This window comes from Homo sapiens, chromosome 16 (genome assembly GCF_000001405.40).
Source record: "Homo sapiens chromosome 16, GRCh38.p14 Primary Assembly".
In the NCBI taxonomy this organism is placed as follows: domain Eukaryota; kingdom Metazoa; phylum Chordata; class Mammalia; order Primates; family Hominidae; genus Homo; species Homo sapiens.
Genome location: NC_000016.10, coordinates 28,946,428 through 28,967,424, shown reverse-complemented (window position 1 = coordinate 28,967,424; position 20,997 = coordinate 28,946,428). Strand labels below are relative to the sequence as shown.

Sequence of the window (20,997 nt, the reverse complement as noted above, 5' to 3'; positions counted from 1 at the left end):
TTTTTTTTTGAGACAGGGTCTTGATTGTTGCCCAGGCTGGAGTGGGTTGGCACAACCATAGCTCACTGCAACCTCAACCTCCTGGGTTCAAGCGATCCTCCCACGTCAGCCTCCCAGGGTGCTAGGTAGATTCCAGGTGTGTGCCCCCATGCCTGGCCACTGTTTTTATTCTGAGTGTCTCTGTGCCTCGCTAAAAACCATGGGTTCTAGTACCACAGAAGGAGGAAGAATGGATGTGAAGGAATAAGGATCTTATTCCTGTCTCTGTCACAAGGATCTTAGTGGGGGTCACATGAGGGCCACAAAGACAAAAATCCTCCAGTATACACAAGTTGAACATATTGCCATTTATTTTGTTGAGGTTAAACATATAATTTTAACGTATTCAAACTTATTAATGGACATTTAAAAAGCTGAAAAAGTGAAGAGCTGTACCATGTCGTGGATTATTTTAATGTCATAAAATTCAAAGGAATGCCACATTTCAATAAAACATTTTAAGAAGTTGACATACTTTTATTAGAATCATGCAAATATTAGAGAAAGGTTAATGGCTTTTTTTTTAGTAGACATTACTGAGAAAACTGGCTCATTATATCACAAAAAGTGAAACTTGGATCTCATATATAAAGGTGTATTTCACTGAATTTTTTTTTTTTTTTTTGAGACAGAGTTTCCACTCTTGTCGCCCAGGCTGGAGTGCAATGGCGCGATCTTGGCTCACTGCAACCTCTGCCTCCTGGGTTCAAGCGATTCTCCTGCCTCAGCCTCCCGAAGTAACTGGGATTACAGGCGCCTGCCACCACACCTAGCTCATTTTTTTTTTTTTTTTTTTTTGTATTTTCAGTAGAGACAAGGTTTCAGTCTTGAATTCCTAACCTCCGGTGATCCACCTGCCTCAGCCTCCCAAAGTTCTGGGATTACAGGCATGAGAAACCATGCCCAGCCGATTTCTCTCATTTTTTTTTTTTTTTTTTTTTAAGAGACAAGGTCTCGCTGTGTTGCCCAGGCTGGTCTCAAACTCCTGGGCTCAAGCAATCCTCCTGCCTTGGCCTCCTGAGTACAAAAGTGCATCTCAAATAGTTTTAAAATGATGTGCAATATTTAGCAACCAGTACAGCCCAGCATCAACCAATTAGAAGAAGTGTCTGACTGTTGAGAACAGATGCAGCCAAGGTGTCACCCCGGTGTGTACCAGCTGGACTTCAGCACTGTGTAGTGTTCTCAATATGAAAGGAAAAGCTGAACAGCTAACAGGAGAAGATGTAAAATATCTTAACAACTCTATTAAATAAGCAATCAAAAAGCAACCAACTGCAGAACAAGATAATTCATACTGTCTACATTAAAATTAAAATTTTCTTTTTTTTTTGAGACAAAGTCTCTCTGTCACTCAGGCTGATGTGCAGTGGCACTGTCTCTGTTCACTGCAGCCTCCACCTCCCGGGTTCAAGTGATTCTCCTGCCTCTGCCTCCTGAGTAGCTGGGATTACAAGCATGCGCCACTGCACCCAGCTAATTTTTGTATTTTTAGTAGAGATGGGATTTCACCAAGTTGGTCAGGGTGGTCTTGAACTCCTGGCCTCAAGTGATCCACCCACCCCGGCCACCGAAAGTGCTGGGATTACAGACCTGAGCCATCACGCCTAGCCAAAATTAAGAATTTCTGTTCAGTGACGGATACCCCTAGATACAAAGAAAATTTCAATTTTTTCCCCTTTAAATCTTTTTTTTGAGTGGAGCCTTGCTCTGTCGCCAGGCTGGAGTGCAGTGGTGGAACCTTGGCTCACTGCAATCTCCGCCTCCTGGGTTTAAGCGATTCCCCTGCCTCAGCCTCCAGAGTAGCTGGGACTACAGGTGTGCGCCACCATGCCCAGCTAATTTTTTGTATTTTAGTAGAGACGGGGTTTCACCATGTTGGCCAGGAGGGTCTCAATCTCCTGCCCTCATGATCTGCCCGCCTTGGCCTCCCAAAGCCCCCTTTTTAATTTTTTTTTGTAGAGACGAGGTCTCGCTATGTTGCCCAGGCTAGTCTCGAACTCCTGGGCTGCAGCGATCCTTCTGCCTGGGCCTCCCAAAGTGCTGGGATTACCAGTGAACCTCCATACCCAGCCCAAATATGCATTCTTGGAATTATCTGCAATTGCCCAAGAATGTACAAGCAACTCCTGAGAATAAACCAAAAAAGATAAGAAACTCCATGAGAAAATGGGCAATGCACAGGAAGGGAAACCAGAAAGGCTAAGTGAAAAAATTCCCCAAATTAATGCTGATCAGATGAATGTATGTTAAAGCACTGCACCACTATCTACCCATGAGACTGGCAAAAATTAGGTAGTCTGGCAATACAAGTGCTGGCAAGGATAAGGAGAAAAGGGCGGCCTCAAGTAGGAGGGTCAGTCACCGTTCTAAAGAAAATCTGGAAAACCAAAGAGAAACTGACCTCTGTGACCTATAGGCCCATCCTGGGTACACATGCCACACAAGCACAGAAGGGAACACACGAAAGGATGTTTATCGTGGCCTGTATCCGGTGCCAAGGGGTCAGGGGCACCCAGGTGTCCCCCACTTTAGGCAATGTGTGTAAACTGCAATTGACATTGTGGAGTGCCACATGGCAGGTCAAAGCAATACTGCATTTCTAGAAGAGTCAATGGGGCTAGATCTTAGCACACATTGAGTGAAAACAGCATAAGACCTATTGCACAATAGCACTATGTACAGTAAAAGCACATATTCACACATGAAACGTGGTATTTTACAAATACATTCATATTCAAAGACATGGGTGCTTATGGGAGAGGATGGTGTAAAGAAAGGGAAAAAAGCCATAAAACCAGAGAATCTTTGCATGGGACTGTATTCCTGAGATCCCAAACCAAAGGGATGAATGTGCTGTTATGCCTTAAATGTGTGCACCAGGAAATGCAAACTAGAAAGGGTGGCTCTGAAGGGTCCTCAGGTGAGGAAGACCCCCAGGGCTGAGAATCCACCACCTTCATCCTTCAAAAGAGTACCTCAGTTGTCTGCTTACGCTTCAGCCAGCATGTGTGAGCTTGGTCATTTCCTGCAAGCCAGGCAACCACACCAGTGTATAAGCCTCAAGCAAATGTCACTCCCAAGCCCCAAATGGGACTAAGGCCTCTGCTGGGCTAGGCGTGGTGTAAATCCCAGGCCTGGAAGCTCCTACCCAACCCTCATTTGTTTCAACTCACTTTCAATATGTGCATAGTTTCATAAAGCAGACATTTCCATGAGGAAAAGAGGATGGTGGTGAAAGGGGAGGGGTGAAGGGACATCTCCAAGTCACAGAGGCTGCAAAACTCAGCATGACTTGTGGACGGAGCCACAGGCCACCCAGGGCAACAACACCCACATAACTCACCAAGTGGTTAACGGCTCTAAACCAGGGTCAACAGGAGAGGGGACAAAAGTCACTCCTTGATTTTGCTGCAGCTTAAAGATAAGTTCTACCTCAGCTTATGCTAGCCCTTATGGGGCAAAAAAGGGAAAGTCATTCTCCCCAAGTCCAGGCTGGGCCGTCAAACAGGGAGTGGGGTGTCAGCCCCAGACCTCAATGAGGTCCCCAGATTCCATGCCCAGGTCAGCTGGCAGCTCCCTGCCTGAAAGCTTTGTCCCATCAAAGAAGAAGGAGAGCTTCCGTCCCGACAGTCCCATGGCCTCCTCATAGTGGGACATGAGGGTCTTTAGAGGGGAATCCTGGATGGAGACAAAAGAAAATGGACGTCAGAACATGAAAGGGGGCGGGGATCCCGTAGGGATAGACGAGGAACTTGGGACAGGGAGGATGGCGGCAGGGGCGGAAACAATAAAGTCAGGGCCCCATGCGGGGAAAGGAGAGAGGACAAAGAAGCCAGCCCAGCCAGGCTCCTCTCTGGGAGCTGGGACGAATCCTGTCATCCCTCTGGGCTCCAAGTTGCTCAGGTAGAGGACGGGGGCCACGAGCCCAAGGCTTAGGGGTATAGGCTCTAAGTCAGGCAAGTCCTCCTAGCCTCAGCCTCCTTCCCTATGAAACAGAAGTGTGTACCAATGACTAAGAGAGCCCAGATTCTAGAGTGAGGATGAGTCGAGCTGGAGGCCAGGCTCTCCCACCTATTAGATATGTGACCTTAGAAAAATGTTACAGGTTATGTTCCCCAGAGAAGACACCTTGTGGTCTTAACCCCTGTTAAGTGTGAATGTGATGTGATTTGGAGACGGGGCCTTTGCAGATGCAATCAAGTTGAGGTTGTACTGGATTGGGACGAGTGCTAATGCCGTGGGACTGGTAGACAACTCACTGCAACCTCTGCCTCCTGGGTTCAAGCAATTCTCCTGCCTCAGCCTCCTGAGTAGCTGCAACTACAGGCACAGGCCACCACACCCAGCTAAGTTTTTGTATTTTTGGTAGAGACAGTTTCTCTGTTGCCCAAGCTGGTCTCAAACTTCCTGAGTTCAGATAAGCCACCCACTTTGGCCTCCCAAAGTGCTGGGATGACAGGCGTGAGCCCCCGCACCCAGCCTGGGACTGGTATGCTTATGGAACAGACACAGAAACAGACATGAGGGGAGAACACACGTGATGACAGAGGCAGAATGGAGTGCACCTGCAAGCCAAGAATGCCAAGGACTGTGGGCCGCCAGCAGGAGCCAGGAGGAGACAGGGCAGATTCCATGAAGAGACCCTGAGGGACTGCGTGATGTTGTCAAATATATATTTGGTCTTTGTATGTTTCCTGGTATAAAATTCCTAAAATCCCTGGGAAAGAGTTAAGTATCTTTTTGCATGCTAATGAGTTGACTGGTGGCTGGCAGCCCCTAGAGAGCTTCAGGAATGGTGCTGGTCACTAGAAAGACCAAGGTAGGATAAGACAGTTGGGACTTTTTCCCCACCCCTCAACCTCCAAGAAGGAGGGAGAGAGTGAAGGTTGAGTCACCACCAATAGCCCATGGTTTAATCAGTCATGCCTATATAACAAAGCTTCCATAAAAATCCAGAGGACAGGGTTTGGAGAACTTCCCAATAGTTGAACATGTGGTGATTCCTGGAGAATGGTGCCCAGGGAAGCTATGGAAGCTCTGCGCCCTTTTCCCATGCTGTGCCCTACACATCTCTTCATCTGTATCCTTTGTAACATCCTTTATAATAAACCAGTAAATGAAAGTAAGTGTCTCCCTGAGTTCTGTAAGCTGCTCTAGCAAATTAAACCCAAGGAGGGGGCGAGGTGCAGTGGCTCATGCCTGTAATCCCAACACTCTGGGAGGCAGAGGTGGGAGGATCAGTTGAGCCCAGGAGTTTGAGTCCAGCCTGGGCAACATAGTGAGACCCCGTCTACACAAAAAAAATTAAAAAATTAGCCAAGGGTAGTGGCACACACCTGTAGTCCCAACTACTCAGGAGGCTGAGGTAGAAGGATCGCTTGAGCCCAGGAGTTTGAGGCTGTGGTAAGCCAAGATCGCACCACTGCACTCCAGCCTGGGCAACAGAGCAAGACCCTGTCTTTTTTTTTTTTTTTTTTTTTTTTGAGACGAAGTCTAGCTCTGTCGCCCAGGCTGGAGTGCAGTGGCTTGATCTTGGCTCACTGCAACCTCCGCCTCCCAGGTTCAAGCGATTCTTCTGCCTCAGCCTCCTGAGTAGCTGGGACTATAGGCGCATGCCACCATGCCCGGCTAATTTTTTGTATTTTTAGTAGAGACAGGGTTTCACCATGTTGATCAGACTGGTCTTGAACTCCTGACCTCGTGATCCGCCCACCTCAGCCTCCCAAAGTGCTGGGATTACAGGCGTGAGCCACCACGTCTGGCCCTGTCTCTTTTTTGTTTTTTTCAAAAGAAAAGAAAAAAATCCTGAGTTTGTTTTCTTCCCCCATATCTTCAGAGACACTTGCTCTGCTAACACCTTGATTTCAGACTTCTACCCTCCAGAACAATGAGAGAATAAATTTATGTTGTTTTAAGCCACCCAACTTGTGGTACTTTGTTACAACAGCCAAAATACAAAAGTGGGGTGCTGCTGGAATAAATGGTTAAATGTAACAGTGGCTTTGAAATTGGATCAGGGCTGGAATAATTTTTTTTTTTTTTTTTTTTTTTTTTTTTCAGATAGGGTCTTGCTGTCTCCCAGGCTGGAGTGCAGTGGCCCAATCTCAGCTCACTGCAGCCTCAATCTCCTAGGCACAAGCGATCCTCACACCTCAGCCTCCTGGGTAGCTGGAACTATAGGCCTGCGCCAGCATGCTGGGCTAATTTTTGTATTTTTTGTAGAGGCAGGGTTTCACTATGTTGCCCGGGCTGGTCTTGAACTCCTGAGCTCAAGCAATCTGTCCATGTTGGCCTCTCAAAGTGTTAGGATTACAGATGTGAGGCACTGTGCCTGGCCAAAGCTGCAAGAATTTTGAGGTGTATGTTAGGAAAAACCTAGACTGCCTTGAAGAGACTGCTGGTAGAAATATGGACATTAAAGGGAATGTCCCTGCAGGCTCACAAAGAGGAGAGGTGCAGAGAAATCTCCTATCATCTTAACAGGATGCATATATTGTTATGAACAGAAGGCTGCTAGAAATATGAATATTAAAGGTGTTTCTGGTGAGGTCTCTGGAGGAAATGAGGAATGTGTTATTGGTAACTGGAATAAAAGTTTCCAATAAAGGTGGCGCAATCATGGCTCACTACAACCTTGATCTCCCAGGCTCAAGCAATCCTCCTGCCTCAGCCGCCTGGGGAGCTAGGATTACAGGTGCTGGGGTTACAGGTGTGAGCCACTGCACCTGGCCCAATTTCTCACTTTTGAAATGGGAATGTCTATCCTATGTCTGTCCCATCACTGTATTTTAGAAGCAAATAACTTATTTTCTAGATTTCACGGGTCCGCAGAGAGAGAGAGAGAGGAATTTTGTCCCAGAATGGACCATACCAAGTCTCATCCAAAACTGATTTAATGATTTAGAAAATAAGATTGGGACTTCTTGAGTTGATTATATTTAAATGAGATTTTGGGCTTAAGAGTTGATGCTGGGATGGGTTAAGACTTGTAGGGATATTGGAATGGGATGTATATATTTTGCAGATGGGAAGGCCATGAATTTGGTGGGGGCTAGAGAACAGTGTGTTAAGGGTTGAACTGTATTCCCCTGAAAAGGCACTTTGTGGTCCTAACCCCTAGTAAATGTGAATGTAACCTTATTTAAAGTAGGGACTTTGCAGATATAATCAAGTTGAGATGAGGTTGTGCTTGGTTAGAGTGGGGCTAGCCCAACATGACCTATGTCTTTCCAAGAAGAGAGACGAACACAGACAGAGACACATGGAGAACACCGTGTGATCACAGAGGGAGAGACTGGAGTGACACAGCTGCAAGCCAAGGAACTCTGGCCACCAGCAGAAGCTAGAAAGAGGTAAGGAAGGTTTCCACTCAGATTCTCAGACGGAACCAGGCCCTGCCAACACCTTCAATTCAGACTTCTAGGCTCCAGAAGTGTACAGGAATAGGTTTCTATTGTTTTAAGCCACCCAATTTGTGTATTTCGTTAACAGTAGACTTAAGAAATGAATGCAGCAGGCCAGGCGCGGTGGCTCACACCTGTAATCCCAACACTTTGGGAGGCCAAGGTGGGTGGCTCACTTGAGGTCAGGAGTTTGAGACCAGCCTGGCCAACATGGTGAAACCCTGTCTCTACTAAAAATGCAAAAATTAGCCCAGCACGTGCACCTGTAATCCCAGCTACACGGGAGGCTGAGGAAAGAGAATCACTTGAAACTCGGAAGGCAGAGGCTGCAGTGAGCCAAGATCATGCCAGACTTCAGCCTGGGCGACAGGGCGAGACTCTATCTCAAAAAAAAAAAAAAAAAAAAAATGACTGCACCAAGTTGCTTATTCCACCTCTCTAGAACTCAATCTTCTTATTGCCAAATGAGGATAACAACAGTGCTTTGTGGCCCACATCAGATTGTTGTGAAATTAAATAAGATCCTGAATGTGAGGAAATTATCCTCAGCACGGGGACTAGCACTTAGCCGTGTGGCCTTCATTGTTATTTTGATGGGTTTTATTGATTACCGTCTAAGGGTCCTTTCTGTTTTAATCAGAAGGAGTCAGGAGACCGAGGGAGCACCCAGACTAGGGCAGAGGGTACCAGTAGAAGCGGGGAGGGAAGTTGAACGATGGGTTTTCCCACTACCTAGGATGGCTGGGAACCCAAGAACATGGAGGGCAGTGTCTCCTGCAAGTCAAGATTAGGGGAATCCATCCTCCATTAACTGACAAGAGAGACAAGAGGCAGCAGAGGACAGGGTGAGGGGCGTGGAGAGCCATCTCTCCCACTCACTCGAGACAGTGAGACTTCCAGTGTCTGGTGTTTCTCCTTTCCCTGCACCCGGAGCTGGAGCTGTTGGGACGTCTCTGTGGCCTCTGGAGAACTTGTTAGTACCACACAGTCTGTGGGAGGCAGAATCAGGAAGCCAGGGCTAAGTGGGGGCTTGGAAGCAGGGCCCGTGCTGAACCTCTCCCCATATCCCCTTCCCCTGGCAAATGCCTCAAGGCCCCACCTCCCTGCCTTCCTCTCACCAATGATGTCAGCCACTCCGAGCTTTAGGGTCCTGGGAGTGGCAGTAGGTGATAGCTCTGTCTCTCCAAAAAGCAAAAGGATCCTGCTTGGGGACACCCCAAGGTGGGTGGCCATGTGGTCCACCACACTCTGCAGGGGCTCCGACTAGGGATGGGGACAACAAGCAAAAGAGGTCTTCCTGCCTTGAAATCCATGCCCCCAGCCACACCACCCAAACACAAGCTCTGGCCTTAGCTACTTGCTAAGCTCCTCAGCTGTGAGTTTCATCATATTTACCTGGCAAGGTATAGAATAAAATCGTGTCAGCAAGGGGTACAGGCGAGTAACACAAAGAAATATAGCAGCCATGGGTTAGAACAAAGAAAGGGGTGGTGGGGATTGCAGCAAACTGGAATTCACATGCCACCTAGACAGGCTGGCTGTTACGCAGCTCCAGCTGATTGGCACTGTGTGGGAACGTGGGCCAGTATGACATCTTCCTATATTTTTCTTTTTTTTTTTTTTGAGACGGAGTTTCGCTCTTGTTAACCAGGATGGAGTGTAGTGGCGCAATCTCAGCTCACTGCAACCTCCGCCTCCCAGGTTCAAGTGATTCTCCTACCAGGCTGGTCTTGAACTCTTGAATTCGGGTGATCCACCTGCCTCGGCCTCCCAAACTACAGGGATAACAGGTGTGAGCCACCGCACCTGGCCACATCTTCTTATTTTTTAAGAGAAGCCAGAAATCTGGACCTTTTTTTTTTCTTTCTATTTTTAGTAGAGGCGGGCTTCACCATATTGGCCAGGCTGGTCTTGAACTCCTGATCTCAGGTGAGATCTGAGGCAGAGTCTCGCTCTTTCATCCAGGCTGGAAGGCAGTGGCACCATGCCCAGCTAATTTTTGTATTTTTAGTAGAGATGGGGTTTCACCATGTTGGCTAGGCTGGTCTCGAACTCCTGACCTCAGGTGATCTGCCTGCCTTCACCTCCCAAAAGTGCTGGGATTACAGGCGTGAGGCACTGCACCCGGCCAGAAATCTGGACCTTTGTATGAAATCACCCATCACAAAGGTGACAACAAACTCGTATATTTTTAAAGCACTTGGTCAGGCATGATGGCTCACACCTATAATCCCAGCATTTTGAGAGGCCGAGGCGGGAGGTTTGCTTGAGGTCAGGAGTTCAAGATCAGCCTGAGCAACAAAGCAAGATCCCATCTCCATTTTTTTTTTTTTTTAAGAGACAAGGTCTTGCTCTCTCACCCAGGCTGCAGTGCAGTGGCATGATCACAGCTGACTGCAGCCCCCAACTCCTGGACTCAGAAGATCCTCTTGCATCAGCCTCCCAAGTCGCTGGGACTACAGGTATGTGCCACCATGCCTGGTTAATTTTTTTATTTTTAGTAGAGACAAGGTCTCACTATTTTGCCCAGGCTGGTCTCGAACTCCTGGCCTCAAGTGATCCTCTCACCTTGGCCTCCCAAAGTGCTGGGATTACAGGAATGAGCCACCATGCCTGGCCCCCATCTCTATGTTTAAAAAATAAAATAGGCCAGGCACGGTGGCTCATGCCTGTAATCCCAACACTTTGGGAAGCTGAGACAGGGGAACACTTGAGATCAGGAGTTCAAGACCAGCCTGGCCAATATGGTGAAGCCCTGCCTCCACTAAAAATACATAAATTAGTCGGGCATGGTGGCGGGCACCTGTAGTCCAAGCTACTCGGGAGGCTGAGGTGGGAGAATCGCCTGAACCTGGGAGGCGGAGGTTTCAGTGAGCAGAGATCGTGCCACTGCACTCCAGCCTAGGCGACAGAGTGAGACCCCGTCTCAAAAAATAAAAATAATAAAAAATAATAAAATAAAATAAAATAAGTCTACAAAGAAAGCAGACACACTGTTGGAAAAGCCATGGGCTGCCAGTTTGCAGCCTCTGCCTTAGTTGCTTGACTGATGCACTGTGCATCAGTAATGGTAATGTCTGTTATCATTCCTGGTGTTGAAACAGGGTCATCCCTACAAAAATATCAGGCTTCGCCAGGAAGCTGGTGGAGTTCAGGGTGACTGAGTGACATCTGCTGTGTCCAGGGCAGTGAGAGCAAGCCCAGGAGGGAAGCCCAGGTTCCTAGGGAGGAAGGCAAGAGAGACTACCAAAAAAAGCTTCTTAGAAGACAGGATGCTTCACACCTGGAATCCCAGCACTTTGGGAGGTCAATGAGGGACGATCACTTGAGCCCAGGAGTTCGGAACCAGCCTGGACACAGTAAGACCACTTTTTGAAGGAAAAAAAAAGACACAGGATGCTTATGAGGAGCCTTGAAGAATGGGTAGAAAGTTTGCCAGAAAGAGAGGGGAGCGTTGGGAAAATGCAGACAGAGGAAACAAAAAGTGTGAAGGCAGGACAGACTGAAAAGAATGATGGGCAGCTCTAGAGAGCAGGATGGGAAAAGGATGACAGTCCCTTCTGCCAGGACACCCCTGCTGGACACCACCATCTCTCCAGAAGCAGCTCCTGGGTCCTTCTCCCATGGGCCTCAGGCACTCACCATCCTGAGGGGCAATCTGACCAGGTCAGCCCGGCAACGGATTTTGAGTGGGAAGAGTCGGGGGGTCTCTGGGAGGGTGGGCCCTTCCACCAAGACCACTTCATCCTCTTGGCCCTGTTGCTCTTGACCCTGAGGTGGCTTGGGGCTCAGACAGGAACGGAGATCCTGGAGGCGCTTGTTCACCTCACTGCAGTGCAGACAGGACTCTGGGTCAACTGGAGTCAGCCACCCTCCCGGATTGCCCTCTTCCATCCCAGCCAGAGCCCCTGCACTTGGCACCTTAACTTCTTGAGTGCCCGAGTATGCGTTCTGCTTTTGGTCCTTGGTGAAGGTGGGGACAGAGGAGAGTTGTCCAGATCCCTGTAGAAGCAAGAGACAGCAGGACGGAGGCAATGGAGAGAGACTGGCCCCACAAATCCTAGAAATCAGATCCTTGGACAATCAAGCATAGTCGGACGCAATGGCTCACACCTGTAATCCCAGCACTTTTGGAGGCTGAGCCAGGAGGATCGCTCGAGCCCAGGAGTCCAAGACCAGGCTGGGCAAGATGGGGAGACCCTATTTCTACATAATTAGCCAGGCATAGTAGAACACAGCTGTAGTCCCAGCTACTCAGGAGGCTGAGGTGGGAGGGTCGCTTGAACCCAGGAATTTGAGGCTGCAGTAAGCTATGATCACGCCACTGCACTCCAGCCTGGGCAATGGAGTGAGGCCCTATCTCTAAAAATGTAAAAATACATTTAAAAAATAAAGAGGAAGCAGCTTCCAATAACCCCCATTTCACTGGAAGGCAGGGGTAGGGGAGAGGGAAAGCCTGAGGCATCATTTTTATATTTACATGACCTGAATATTAGGGAAGAAAATGCCTCATTTTTGAGACTGTCACTTCCCAGGAAAATGTCCAATAATATCCGACAGACGGCAAGCACTTACCATATGTCCAGTGTTGCCCAGGCTGGTCTTGAACTCCTGGGCTCAAGTGATTCACTCCCCTTGGCGTCCCAAAGTGCTGGGATTACAGGCAAGAGCCATTGTGCCTAGCCAAGTGTTAACTCTTGATTGACTCAGCAATTCATTGACACAAATGCCACTATTATCCCCAGGTTTGGGGGTATTTTTTGTCTGTCTGTTTGTTTGCTTTTTAGAGACAGGGTCTCACTCTGTCACCCAGGCTGGAGTATAGTGGCACGATCATGGCTCACTGCAGCCTCTAACTCCTGGGATCAAGCGATTTTCCCATCTCAGCCTCCCGAGCAGCTGGGATCACAGGCATGCGCCACCATGCCAGGCTAATTTTTTTTTATTTTTTGTAGAGACAGGGTCTCTCTATGTTTCCCAGGCTATAAAACGGGGTTTTATAGATGAAGAAAGAGAAGCACAGAGAGGACAGGGAAGCTGGATTGGAACCATACCTTAAGCTCACATTACTAGGGTCTCAGAATCCACTCCCAAGGGTGATCCTGAAGGGTTCACTGTCACCCTCCGGGGTAAGCCACCTCTTTTCCCCAAGCGATTCATTCCCCACATGAAACTCAACAGTCCTTCTATCCCTTCTTCTTAACCTTTCAGGAGTCACCCAAGAGTCCTGCCTGCCTCCGCTTACCCCTCCAACTCACTTCCTGCTCCCAGGGCCCAAGGGCCCTGGCCTCACTCACAGAAACTCTGTCTTTTTCTTCTCTTCTTTATCCTTAGTCCTCAGCTTTGTCTTCCAGGGAGAGCCTGGTGATGGGGAGCCCTCATGGTAGAGACCACTCGAATCTGCCAGCTCTGCCTCTGGGGGCAGAGGAAGAGAAGGTAGAAGGGGGTTATCCAAGGGAGGCCAGCGAAGGCCAAGAAGAAACAAGTCAGAGGCTTCAAGAAGGTCCTAGGAAAGGAGGAGACCACGGAGCCCCTGGCACACACAGGGCCACATGATAATATTGGGAAAGGGGGCAGGGGATGAGACTGCTATTTAGTATAAAGATAGCTCATATTAACTTAAAATTAACTTAAATTTCTCATGAAAGGAAACCAGGTATTATTTTCTATAATATAGAAATTTCTATTTGCCCGCTGTCAATAAAAGATCATCACAAACCACAAAAATAAATACTGTGAAAATTAAAAAATGATAAGAAACCCTAGATCAGTGGCTCTGAACCAGGGACAATTTTGCCTCTGCGGGGACATATAGCAATGTTTAGAGACAATATTGGTTATCAAAATGTGGAGGGCGAGGGGGCTGAGGTATAATACTTCCCAGGGATGGAAGTCAGGATGCCGCTAAACTTTCTACAATGCACAGGACAGTTTCCAACACCAAAGAATTTTCCAGTCCAAAAAATGCCAGTAATGCTGAAGTCATGAAATCCTGTCCTAACTAACTATGGCAGCTGCAAGAGGCCTATGATTCTGCATTTCGTTTTTCTTTTTTTTTTTTTGAGACCAGGTCCTACTGTGTCACCCAGGTTGGAGTGCAGTGGCATGATCATGGCTCACTGCAGCCTCGACTTCCTGGGCTCAGGTGTTTCTCCCACCTCAGCCTCCTGAGTAGCTAGGACTACAAGTACACATCACCATGCCTGGTTAATTTTTTATTTTTCTGTAGAAACAGGGTCTCATCATGTTGCGCAGGCTGGTCTCGAACTCCTGGGCTCAAGCAATCCTCCCATCTCAGCCTCCCAAAGTGCTGGGATTACAGCACTTTGAGCCATTGTGCCCAGCCGATCCTGCATTTCTAGCAAGCTTCCAACGGATGCCATATATGGCTGGGCCCACGTTTTGAGTATCAGGGATAGAGGTACCTTTTACGTAGCACTTCTGTGTCCTAGGTACTGTCCTAAAGCATATATCTAGCCAAGAGGCAGCTCTCTCTATATTCCCTTTCGTTAATTCTCACCAAAATCAGCACCAAAATGGGGTCTACTATTATCCCCACTTTGATAATGAGGAAATTGAAGCACTGAGAAATTAAGAAACTTGCCCAGGCTGGGCGTGGTGGCTCACGCCTGTAATCCCAGCACTTTGGGTGACCAAGGCAGACAGATCACCTAAGGTCAGGAGTTCGAGATCAGCCTGGCCAACATGATGAAACCCCATCTCTACTAAAAATACAAAAAAGCCAGACATGGTGGCGGGCGCCTGTAATCCCTGCTACTCGGGAGGCTGAGGCAGGAGAATGGCTTCAACCTGGGAGATGGAGGTTGCAGTGAGCTAAGATTGCGCCACTACACTCCACCCTGGGTGACAGAGTGAGACTCTGTCTCAAAACAAGAAAAAAGAAACTCGCCTAAGATCACACAGCTATTAAGAGATAGAGCTGAGGCCGGGCACAGTGGCTCACGCCTGTAATCCCAGCAATTTGGGAAGCTAAGATGGGCGGATCACCTGAGGTCAGGAGTTCAAGACCAGCCAGGCCAACATGGTGAAACCCCATCTCTATTAAAAATACAAAAAATTAGCCAGGCGTGGTGGGAATTAGTCAGCTACTGGGAAGGCTGAGGCAGGAGAATCGCTTGAACCCAGGAGGTGGAGGTTGCAGCGAGCCGAGATCGTGCCATTGCACTCCAGCTTGGGCAACAAAAGCGAAACTCTGTCTAAAAAAAAAAAAAAAAAAGAGAGAACTGAGATTCAAACCCAGGCCAGATGGCTCCTGTTTGCTTTTAATCACCCCACTGTACTCCCTCATGGTACAAGAGTCTTGGTCCAAGGTCTCCATTTGCCCACTGGATTATTTCCTTATTAGACTAGATTCCTATTCCCCGCCCTTGAGTTGTTTGCAAAAAATGCATCAGTGGGGGAGGACAAAGACAGGGCATCCCTGATAAGATTCAGAGAACACCCTGCTGGCTCCAGTGTTCCCAAAGAACTTGCTGCAGATGTAACAAGATGTCACAGATTCTCAACACCTTACCGCCTCCTGCCCCGCCCAGGACTACAGAATCAGCATCTCTTCAGGTGGCACCAGAAATGTATACATTAATACATTCTATGCTTGTTAACAATCCAGCTCCTGTGGCTGGGATGCAGGAGTCCCCTCTCCCACGCTCTTCCCTTGAGCCTCAGGAGACAACTGACTGCAGGAATATAAACCCCAGGAATTCTCTTAAGAGAAGCCAGCGGCTGCGTGCCTCTCCCTGGAGGCCCTCCCTTACCTTCCTCATCCCCTGGAGGGTAGAGTTTCAGGAGGGATAGATCATCTGGGATAAGGCGAAGGCTGCTTTTAACCTGCAAAGACAAAGAAGGGAGAGGGGTCAGGCCCAAGTCCTTCCCCTACCGAAAGAAAAAATTGGGGGTAATTCTTCCCTGACACCCAGCTCCCAAATCCTCCCTAAGATCGTGGACACCTTGGCCCTCTCCTGGCAACCTAGAAGTCCAGCTTCCCCAGGATTCAGAATGGAAGTACCCTTCACCCTTTCCTCCATCTGCCTAAGACACTCTGAAATGTATGCTTCCTTGCCCTTTTTAACTAGGTTACTAGCCGCCCCTCTACCCCTGACTCTTAGGGACTCTCAGCCCATTGCTCACACGACCATCGGGGGACCCCAGCCTCTGGAGCCGCCCAGTCCTCTCTGAACCCGCATGGACCCCAACCCCCAATACTGCAGCTCCCTGGCTTCATTTGCCATGGACCCCAACCTCAAAATCCAACGGCCCCAGGTCCTCCCAGTCCCTCTCCAAAATCTCAGGAATCCCAGCTCTTCAGCCTCCCTGTGCCCCCAAGACTCTAGCTCCTAGGAATCCTAAACTTCCAACGCATCCCACCCTCCTTCACCACCCCAGTCTGCAGAAAGTCCCGGAGCCCTGCCTCTCCCTGCCTCCAACACCCTAACGCCCGAGGACCAGCCCCAGAACGCCAGCCTCAACACCCCTATAGCCCTACCCTCCCCGAACGCCGGCCCCTCCCTGGAGGCCAAGCCCTTGGCCCTTCCGCCGGTCCCCTCCCCGGGACCGGGCGCACCTTCCCCGAGTACACCGGAACCAGCGGCGCCTCCCCCGGATCCAGCACCAGCCGCCGCCGCCGCCTGACCGGCTCCCGCGGGGGTCCTGCGGGCCGCCTGTCCTCCCCTTCGCTGTCACTGTTGCTGTTATCCCGGGACGCGACCGGCCCCGGGGGCTCCGGGGGCTCCACCTCAACCTCGTCCGCGGCACCGCGAGCGGTGGCGACCTCCAGAATTTCCTCATCGCTGTCGGTGACCAAGTCCACAGACACTACGTCCAGCGTGCCCCGGGATGGAGACCGCTGGGCCCGAGGACGCCGGCCCCGACCGCCCCAGCCGCCCCGACCCCCTCGGCCGGCACCGCTACCTCCGGACCAGCGGCCCCGCTTCCCCACAGGCTCCGCCATGGCACACTTTCCTCCACAACACACGCCCGCCTCCTCTCGCCTCGCCCCGCCCCCTTCAGCGACTTTCGCCTTGCATTGGACAAACAGCCTGCTCGTCAGCAACTCTTCGCGCCCCACGCGCGGGATCCGCCTTCCCGCCTTTTCATTGGTCTCTGTACCCGCTCATCATGCGCCCACCTCTGAAACCAAGGCGCCAAAGATTCCAATCACCTCGGCACAATCACCGTAGCTTTCGATTCAGTCGGCCTCACCCATTGGCTGGGCCACCTCTCCACAGACGAGCCTCTCCCGGACCCGCCCAACCAAGACAACCGTCTTCCGGCTTGGTTAGTCGCAGGGCATCCTGGGAAATGTAGTCCTCGAGCGGTAAGGTTTCCGGGAGAAGGAAGGCGGGCCTGGAATTCCCTGTGGAAACCGCGGATTTAACCAGGCGCGGTGCCTCACGCCCGTAATCCTGGCACTTTGAAAGGCTGAGGCGGGCAGATTGGTTGAGCTCAGGAGTTTGAGACCAGCCTGGCCAATGTGGCGAAACCGCGTCTCTACTAAGAATGCAAAAATTACCCGGGCGTGGTGGCACCCCTCTGTGGTCCCAACTACTCAGGAGGCTGAGGTGGGAGTTTCGCTGGAGCCCGGGAGGCGGAGATCGCACCACTGCACCCCAGCCTGGGTGACAGGGCGAGACCCTGTCTCAAAAATGCTTTAAAGAAATAATAAGGCTGGCCGCGCGCGGTGGCTCACGCCTGTAATCCCAGCACTTTGGGAGGCCGAGGCAGGCGAATCACGAGGTCAGAAGTTCAAGACCAGCCTGGCCAACACGGTGAAACCCCGTCTCTACTAAAAATACAAAAATTAGGCGGGCGTGGTGGCGTGCGCCTGTAATCCCAGCTACTCAGGAGGCTGAGGCAGGAGAATTGCTTGAGCCCGGGAGGCAGAGGTTACAGTGAGCCAGATCCTGCCGCTGCACTCCAGCCTGGCCGACAGAGCGAGACTCTCTCTCAAAAAAAGAAAGAAAGATAGAAATAATAAGGCTGGGCGTGGTGGCTCACGCCTATAATCCAGCACTTTGGGAGGCCGAGGTGGGCAGATCACCTGAGGTCAGGAGTTCGAGACCAGCCTGACCAACATGGTAAAACCCTGTCTCTACTAAAATACAAAAATTAGACAGGCGTAGTGGCAGGCGCCTATAATCTCAGCTACTCGGGAGGCTGAGGCAGGAGAATCGCTGGAACCCAGGAGGCAGAGGTTGCACTGAGCCAAGATTGTACCACTGCACTCCAGCCTGGGCAACAGAGTGAGACTCCATCTCAAAAAAAAATCTTATGTATTTATTTATTTTTAAATTTTATTTTATTCATTTATTTAATTTTATTTATTTATTTATTTTGAGATGGAGTTTCGCTCTTATTGCCCAGGCTGGAGTGCAATGGCTCGATCTCGGTTCACTGCAACCTCTGCCTCCCAGATTCAAGCAATTCTCGTGCCTCAGTCTCCAAGTAGCTGGGATTGATTACAGGCGTGCACTACCATGCCCAGCTAATTTTGTATTTTTAGTGGAGATGGGGTCTCACCATGTTGGTCAGGCTGGTCTTGAACTCCTGACCTCAGGTGATCCACCCCCCTCCGCCCCCGCCTTGGCCTCCCAAAGTGCTGGGATTACAGGCGTGAGCCACTGCGCCCGACTATTTATTTTATTTTTTTCTTTTTCTTGATTCGGAGTTTTGCTCTGTTGCCCAGGCTGGAGTGCAATGGTGCGATCTCAGCTCATTGCAACCTCCACCTTCAGGGTTCAAAGGATTCTCTTGCCTCAGCTTCCCGAGTAGCTGGGATTACTGTTGCCTGCCACCTTGCCCAGCTAATTTTTGTATTTTTAGTAGAGACGGGGTTTCACCATGTTGCCCAGGCCGGTCTTGAACTCCTGACCTCAAGTGATCCACCTGGCTCGGCCTCCCAAAGTGCGGGGATTACAGGTGTGAGCCACAGCACCCAGCCTGGCATATGTAAATCTTCATGATGGCTACATAAGCCACTTGCCAGTCTCCAAATTCAGGAATTCAAGGACCTGGGAGCCCTGACGAAATGCCGTCGTCAAGGCAGTTAGCTCTCTTGTCTCCCATTTCCCCTAGGAGGGAAAAGCTTGGCTTCAGTCTTGCTCCAAGATGCAGGCTACCTCCTGTCCTAAAGATATGAAAAGTTTGTGTCTACTCACCCCTACCATACAAGCCAATTCAATAACACAGGTGGTCACCCCACTTACCATCATAAAGTTAGACTGGGGCCAGGCGTGGTGGCTCACGCCTGTAATCCCAGCACTTTGGGAGGCCGAGGCGGGTGGATCACTTGAGGTCAGGAGTTCGAGACCAGCCTGGCCAACATGGTGAAACCCCATCTCTACTAAAATACAAAACAAAATTAGCTGGGCATGGTGGTGTGCGCCTGTATTCCTAGCTACTTGGGAGGCTGAGGCAGGAGGATCAGTTGAACCCAGGAGGTGGAGGTTGCAGTGACCCGAGATCGAGCCATTGCCCTCCAGCCTGGGAGACAGAGCCAGACTCTGTTGCAAAAGAAAAAAAAAAAAGCCAGGCGCGATGGCCCATACCTGTAATCCCAGCACTTTGGGAGGCCAAGGCGGGCGGATGACAAGGTCCAGAGATTGAGACCATCCTGGCTAACACAGTGAAACCCTGTCTCTACTAAAAAATACAAAAAATTAGCTGGGCGTGGTGGCGGGCGCCTGTAGTCCCAGCTACTCGGGAGGCTGAGGCAGGAGCATGGCATGAACCCAGGAGGCGCAGGTTGCAGTGAGCCGAGATTGCACCACTGCACTCCAGCCTGGGCGACAGAGCGAGACTCCGTCTCAAAAAAAAAAAAAAAAAAAAAAGGCTGAACTATGTTTGACTAAAGGTGTTGTCACGTCCTCTTACGTGAGGACTAGTCATTGTTTATCTTGAAAACATGGTATTGCAACCACCCCTATAAACTTGAGAAGAAGGGAGAGGGAGAAATGAAAAGAAACCAAACTTGCGGTGCACTCAGCATTGATCTCAGGGCAGCTGCTCCCTGACCTGCTTCCCCAAAGCCATCTGGTGCCTGTTGCCCCACAGTCACACAGCCCCTGTCAGAAGATTATAGTTCCCCTTAACTGCTCTTGAATCACGGCTTGGACATTACATTAGGTGTTCCCTTTGAGATATTCCTTCAGGTCTTGATGGAACTACTGATTCAGCTGACCTGAAGGACCCCACAAGGAGCTGACTCCCCGCAAAATGCAGCTTCTACACCCTGACAATTTCATCCCCCTTCCCAACCAATCAATGACCCCAATATTCCAGCCCATCACTCCCCACAAACCCCTTAAAAGCCCAGCCCAGAACTCCCTGGAGAGAGATTTGAGGGTCTCCTCCCATCACCTCGCTCGGCACCCTGCAATCATTAAACTCTCTCTGCTGCATCCCCACCGTCTCAGAGTCACAGAGCTGTGACTGCACAGTGGGCATATGAACCTGCAGCTCCTGTAACAATATGGAATTTGAAATTTTATCTTGAAAACAGGATAATGGTTTACACCTGCTTGGCTGTAATGAAGGATATTTCTTTTTGCCTTTGCAATCTTTTACCAGATTGCCAGTGATGTGCATCACATTCTAACTTAATGCTTATTCAAGCCGGGTGCAGTGGCTCACGCCTCTAATCCCAGTACTTTGGGAGGCTGAGGTGGTTGGATCACCTGAGGTCAGGAGTTCGAGACCAGCCTGGCCAATATGGTGGTGTATTTTTCTACTAAAAATACAAAAAATTAGCCAGGCATTGTGGTGGGCACCTGTAATCCCAACTACTCCGGAGCCTGAGGCAGGAGGATCACTTGAACCCGGGAGGCAGAGGTTCCAGTGAGCTGAGATTGTGCCATTGCACTCCAGCATGGGCAACAAGAGTGAAACTCCATGTCAAAAAAGAAAGAAAAATTATGCTTATTCAATAATAAAACCAGCCCGGGCATGTTGGCTTATGCCTGTAATCCCAGCACTGGGAGCCTGAGGTGGGAGGATCACTTGAGGTCTAGGGTTCAAGGCCAGCCTGGGCAATATAGCAAGACCCTGTCTCTACAAAAAGTAATAATAATTAGTGGGTGTCGTGATGCACACCTGTAGTCCTAGCTACTTGGGAGGCTGATTGAGCCCAGGAGTTCAAGGCTGCAGTGAGCTATGATCTCACCACTTCACTCGAGCCTGGGCAACAGAGCAAGACCCTCTCTCTAAAAATAAATAAATACATACAATTTAAGGCCAGGCACAGTGGTTCACGTCTGTAATCCCAGCACTTTGGGAGGCCAAGGTGGGAGGATCACTTCAGGCTGAGCGTTAAGACCCGCCTAGGCAATATAGTAAAACCCCCAACTCTACGAAAAATAATAATACATTTTAAAACTTTTTTTTTTTTGAGATGGAGTTCCACTCTTGTTGCCCAGGCTGGAGTGCAGTGGCACAATCTTGGATCACTGCAACCTCCACCTCCCGGGTTCAAGCGATTCTCCTGCCTCAGCCTCCTGAGTAGCTGGGATTACAGACATGCGCCACCACGCCTGGCTAA

At 49.8% G+C, this 20,997-nt stretch overlaps 1 protein-coding gene, 1 long non-coding RNA gene and 1 other non-coding gene across 7 annotated transcripts, besides 6 other annotated features; 1 reads left to right on the top strand and 2 right to left on the bottom strand.

The window, feature by feature from the left end:
• Positions 1-332: 332 nt before the first annotated feature.
• On the bottom strand, positions 333-16,488 carry NFATC2IP (nuclear factor of activated T cells 2 interacting protein). 5 transcript variants are annotated; one of them, NM_032815.4, is made up of 8 exons: positions 16,027-16,488; positions 15,221-15,293; positions 12,743-12,860; positions 11,367-11,447; positions 11,088-11,274; positions 8,564-8,708; positions 8,325-8,434; positions 333-3,720 (listed from the first exon to the last, which is right to left on the bottom strand). In NM_032815.4, the coding sequence occupies exons 1-8, from the start codon at positions 16,411-16,413 to the stop codon at positions 3,562-3,564; spliced, it is 1,260 nt and encodes a 419-aa protein (NP_116204.3). In that variant the 5' UTR covers positions 16,414-16,488; the 3' UTR covers positions 333-3,561. The 5 variants fall into 5 exon arrangements, 4 of the variants coding, with proteins under 4 accessions (NP_116204.3, NP_001381713.1, NP_001381714.1 ...); NM_001394784.1 differs by lacking the exon at positions 11,367-11,447; NR_172207.1 differs by lacking the exons at positions 11,088-11,274; positions 11,367-11,447.
• On the top strand, positions 981-14,523 carry NFATC2IP-AS1 (NFATC2IP antisense RNA 1). Its single transcript, NR_186408.1, has 2 exons — positions 981-1,009; positions 12,427-14,523. It is a non-coding gene; the product is annotated as an NFATC2IP antisense RNA 1 (long non-coding RNA).
• Positions 4,910-5,118: a silencer, noted in NCBI's record as "fragment chr16:28973628-28973836 (GRCh37/hg19 assembly coordinates)". NCBI's record gives its function as "represses an EF-1alpha promoter that drives an FKBP-Casp9 reporter gene in an ReSE screen in K562 erythroleukemia cells {active_cell/tissue: K562}" and the evidence as "EXISTENCE:reporter gene assay evidence [ECO:0000049][PMID:32094911]".
• Positions 8,764-8,842, bottom strand: MIR4517 (microRNA 4517). Its single transcript, NR_039742.1, has one exon. It is a non-coding gene; the product is annotated as a microRNA 4517 (primary transcript).
• Positions 16,033-16,152: a silencer, noted in NCBI's record as "silent region_7320". NCBI's record gives its function as "represses an Ori minimal core promoter by ATAC-STARR-seq in GM12878 lymphoblastoid cells {active_cell/tissue: GM12878}" and the evidence as "EXISTENCE:reporter gene assay evidence [ECO:0000049][PMID:35858748]".
• Positions 16,033-16,612: a biological region, named in NCBI's record as "H3K27ac hESC enhancer GRCh37_chr16:28962134-28962634".
• Positions 16,112-16,612: an enhancer, noted in NCBI's record as "H3K27ac hESC enhancer chr16:28962134-28962634 (GRCh37/hg19 assembly coordinates)". NCBI's record gives its function as "activates a minimal SCP1, AML or CMV promoter by ChIP-STARR-seq in primed H9 embryonic stem cells {active_cell/tissue: H9 hESC(primed)}" and the evidence as "EXISTENCE:reporter gene assay evidence [ECO:0000049][PMID:30033119]".
• Positions 16,293-16,392: a silencer, noted in NCBI's record as "silent region_7319". NCBI's record gives its function as "represses an Ori minimal core promoter by ATAC-STARR-seq in GM12878 lymphoblastoid cells {active_cell/tissue: GM12878}" and the evidence as "EXISTENCE:reporter gene assay evidence [ECO:0000049][PMID:35858748]".
• Positions 16,632-17,166: an enhancer, noted in NCBI's record as "H3K27ac-H3K4me1 hESC enhancer chr16:28961580-28962114 (GRCh37/hg19 assembly coordinates)". NCBI's record gives its function as "activates a minimal SCP1, AML or CMV promoter by ChIP-STARR-seq in primed H9 embryonic stem cells {active_cell/tissue: H9 hESC(primed)}" and the evidence as "EXISTENCE:reporter gene assay evidence [ECO:0000049][PMID:30033119]".

Excerpts from the sequence above, each read along its gene's own strand:
- NFATC2IP (NM_032815.4), bottom strand. The coding sequence starts at position 16,413 with ATGGCGGAGCCTGTGGGGAAGCGGGGCCGCTGGTCCGGAGGTAGCGGT. Across the intron at positions 11,448-12,742 it reads AAGAAAAAGACAGAGTTTCT|GGATCTGGACAACTCTCCTC; the intron begins GTGAGTGAGGCC and ends TTGCTTCTACAG. Across the intron at positions 8,709-11,087 it reads TCAGATTGCCCCTCAGGATG|TCGGAGCCCCTGCAGAGTGT; the intron begins GTGAGTGCCTGA and ends CCCCATCCCTAG.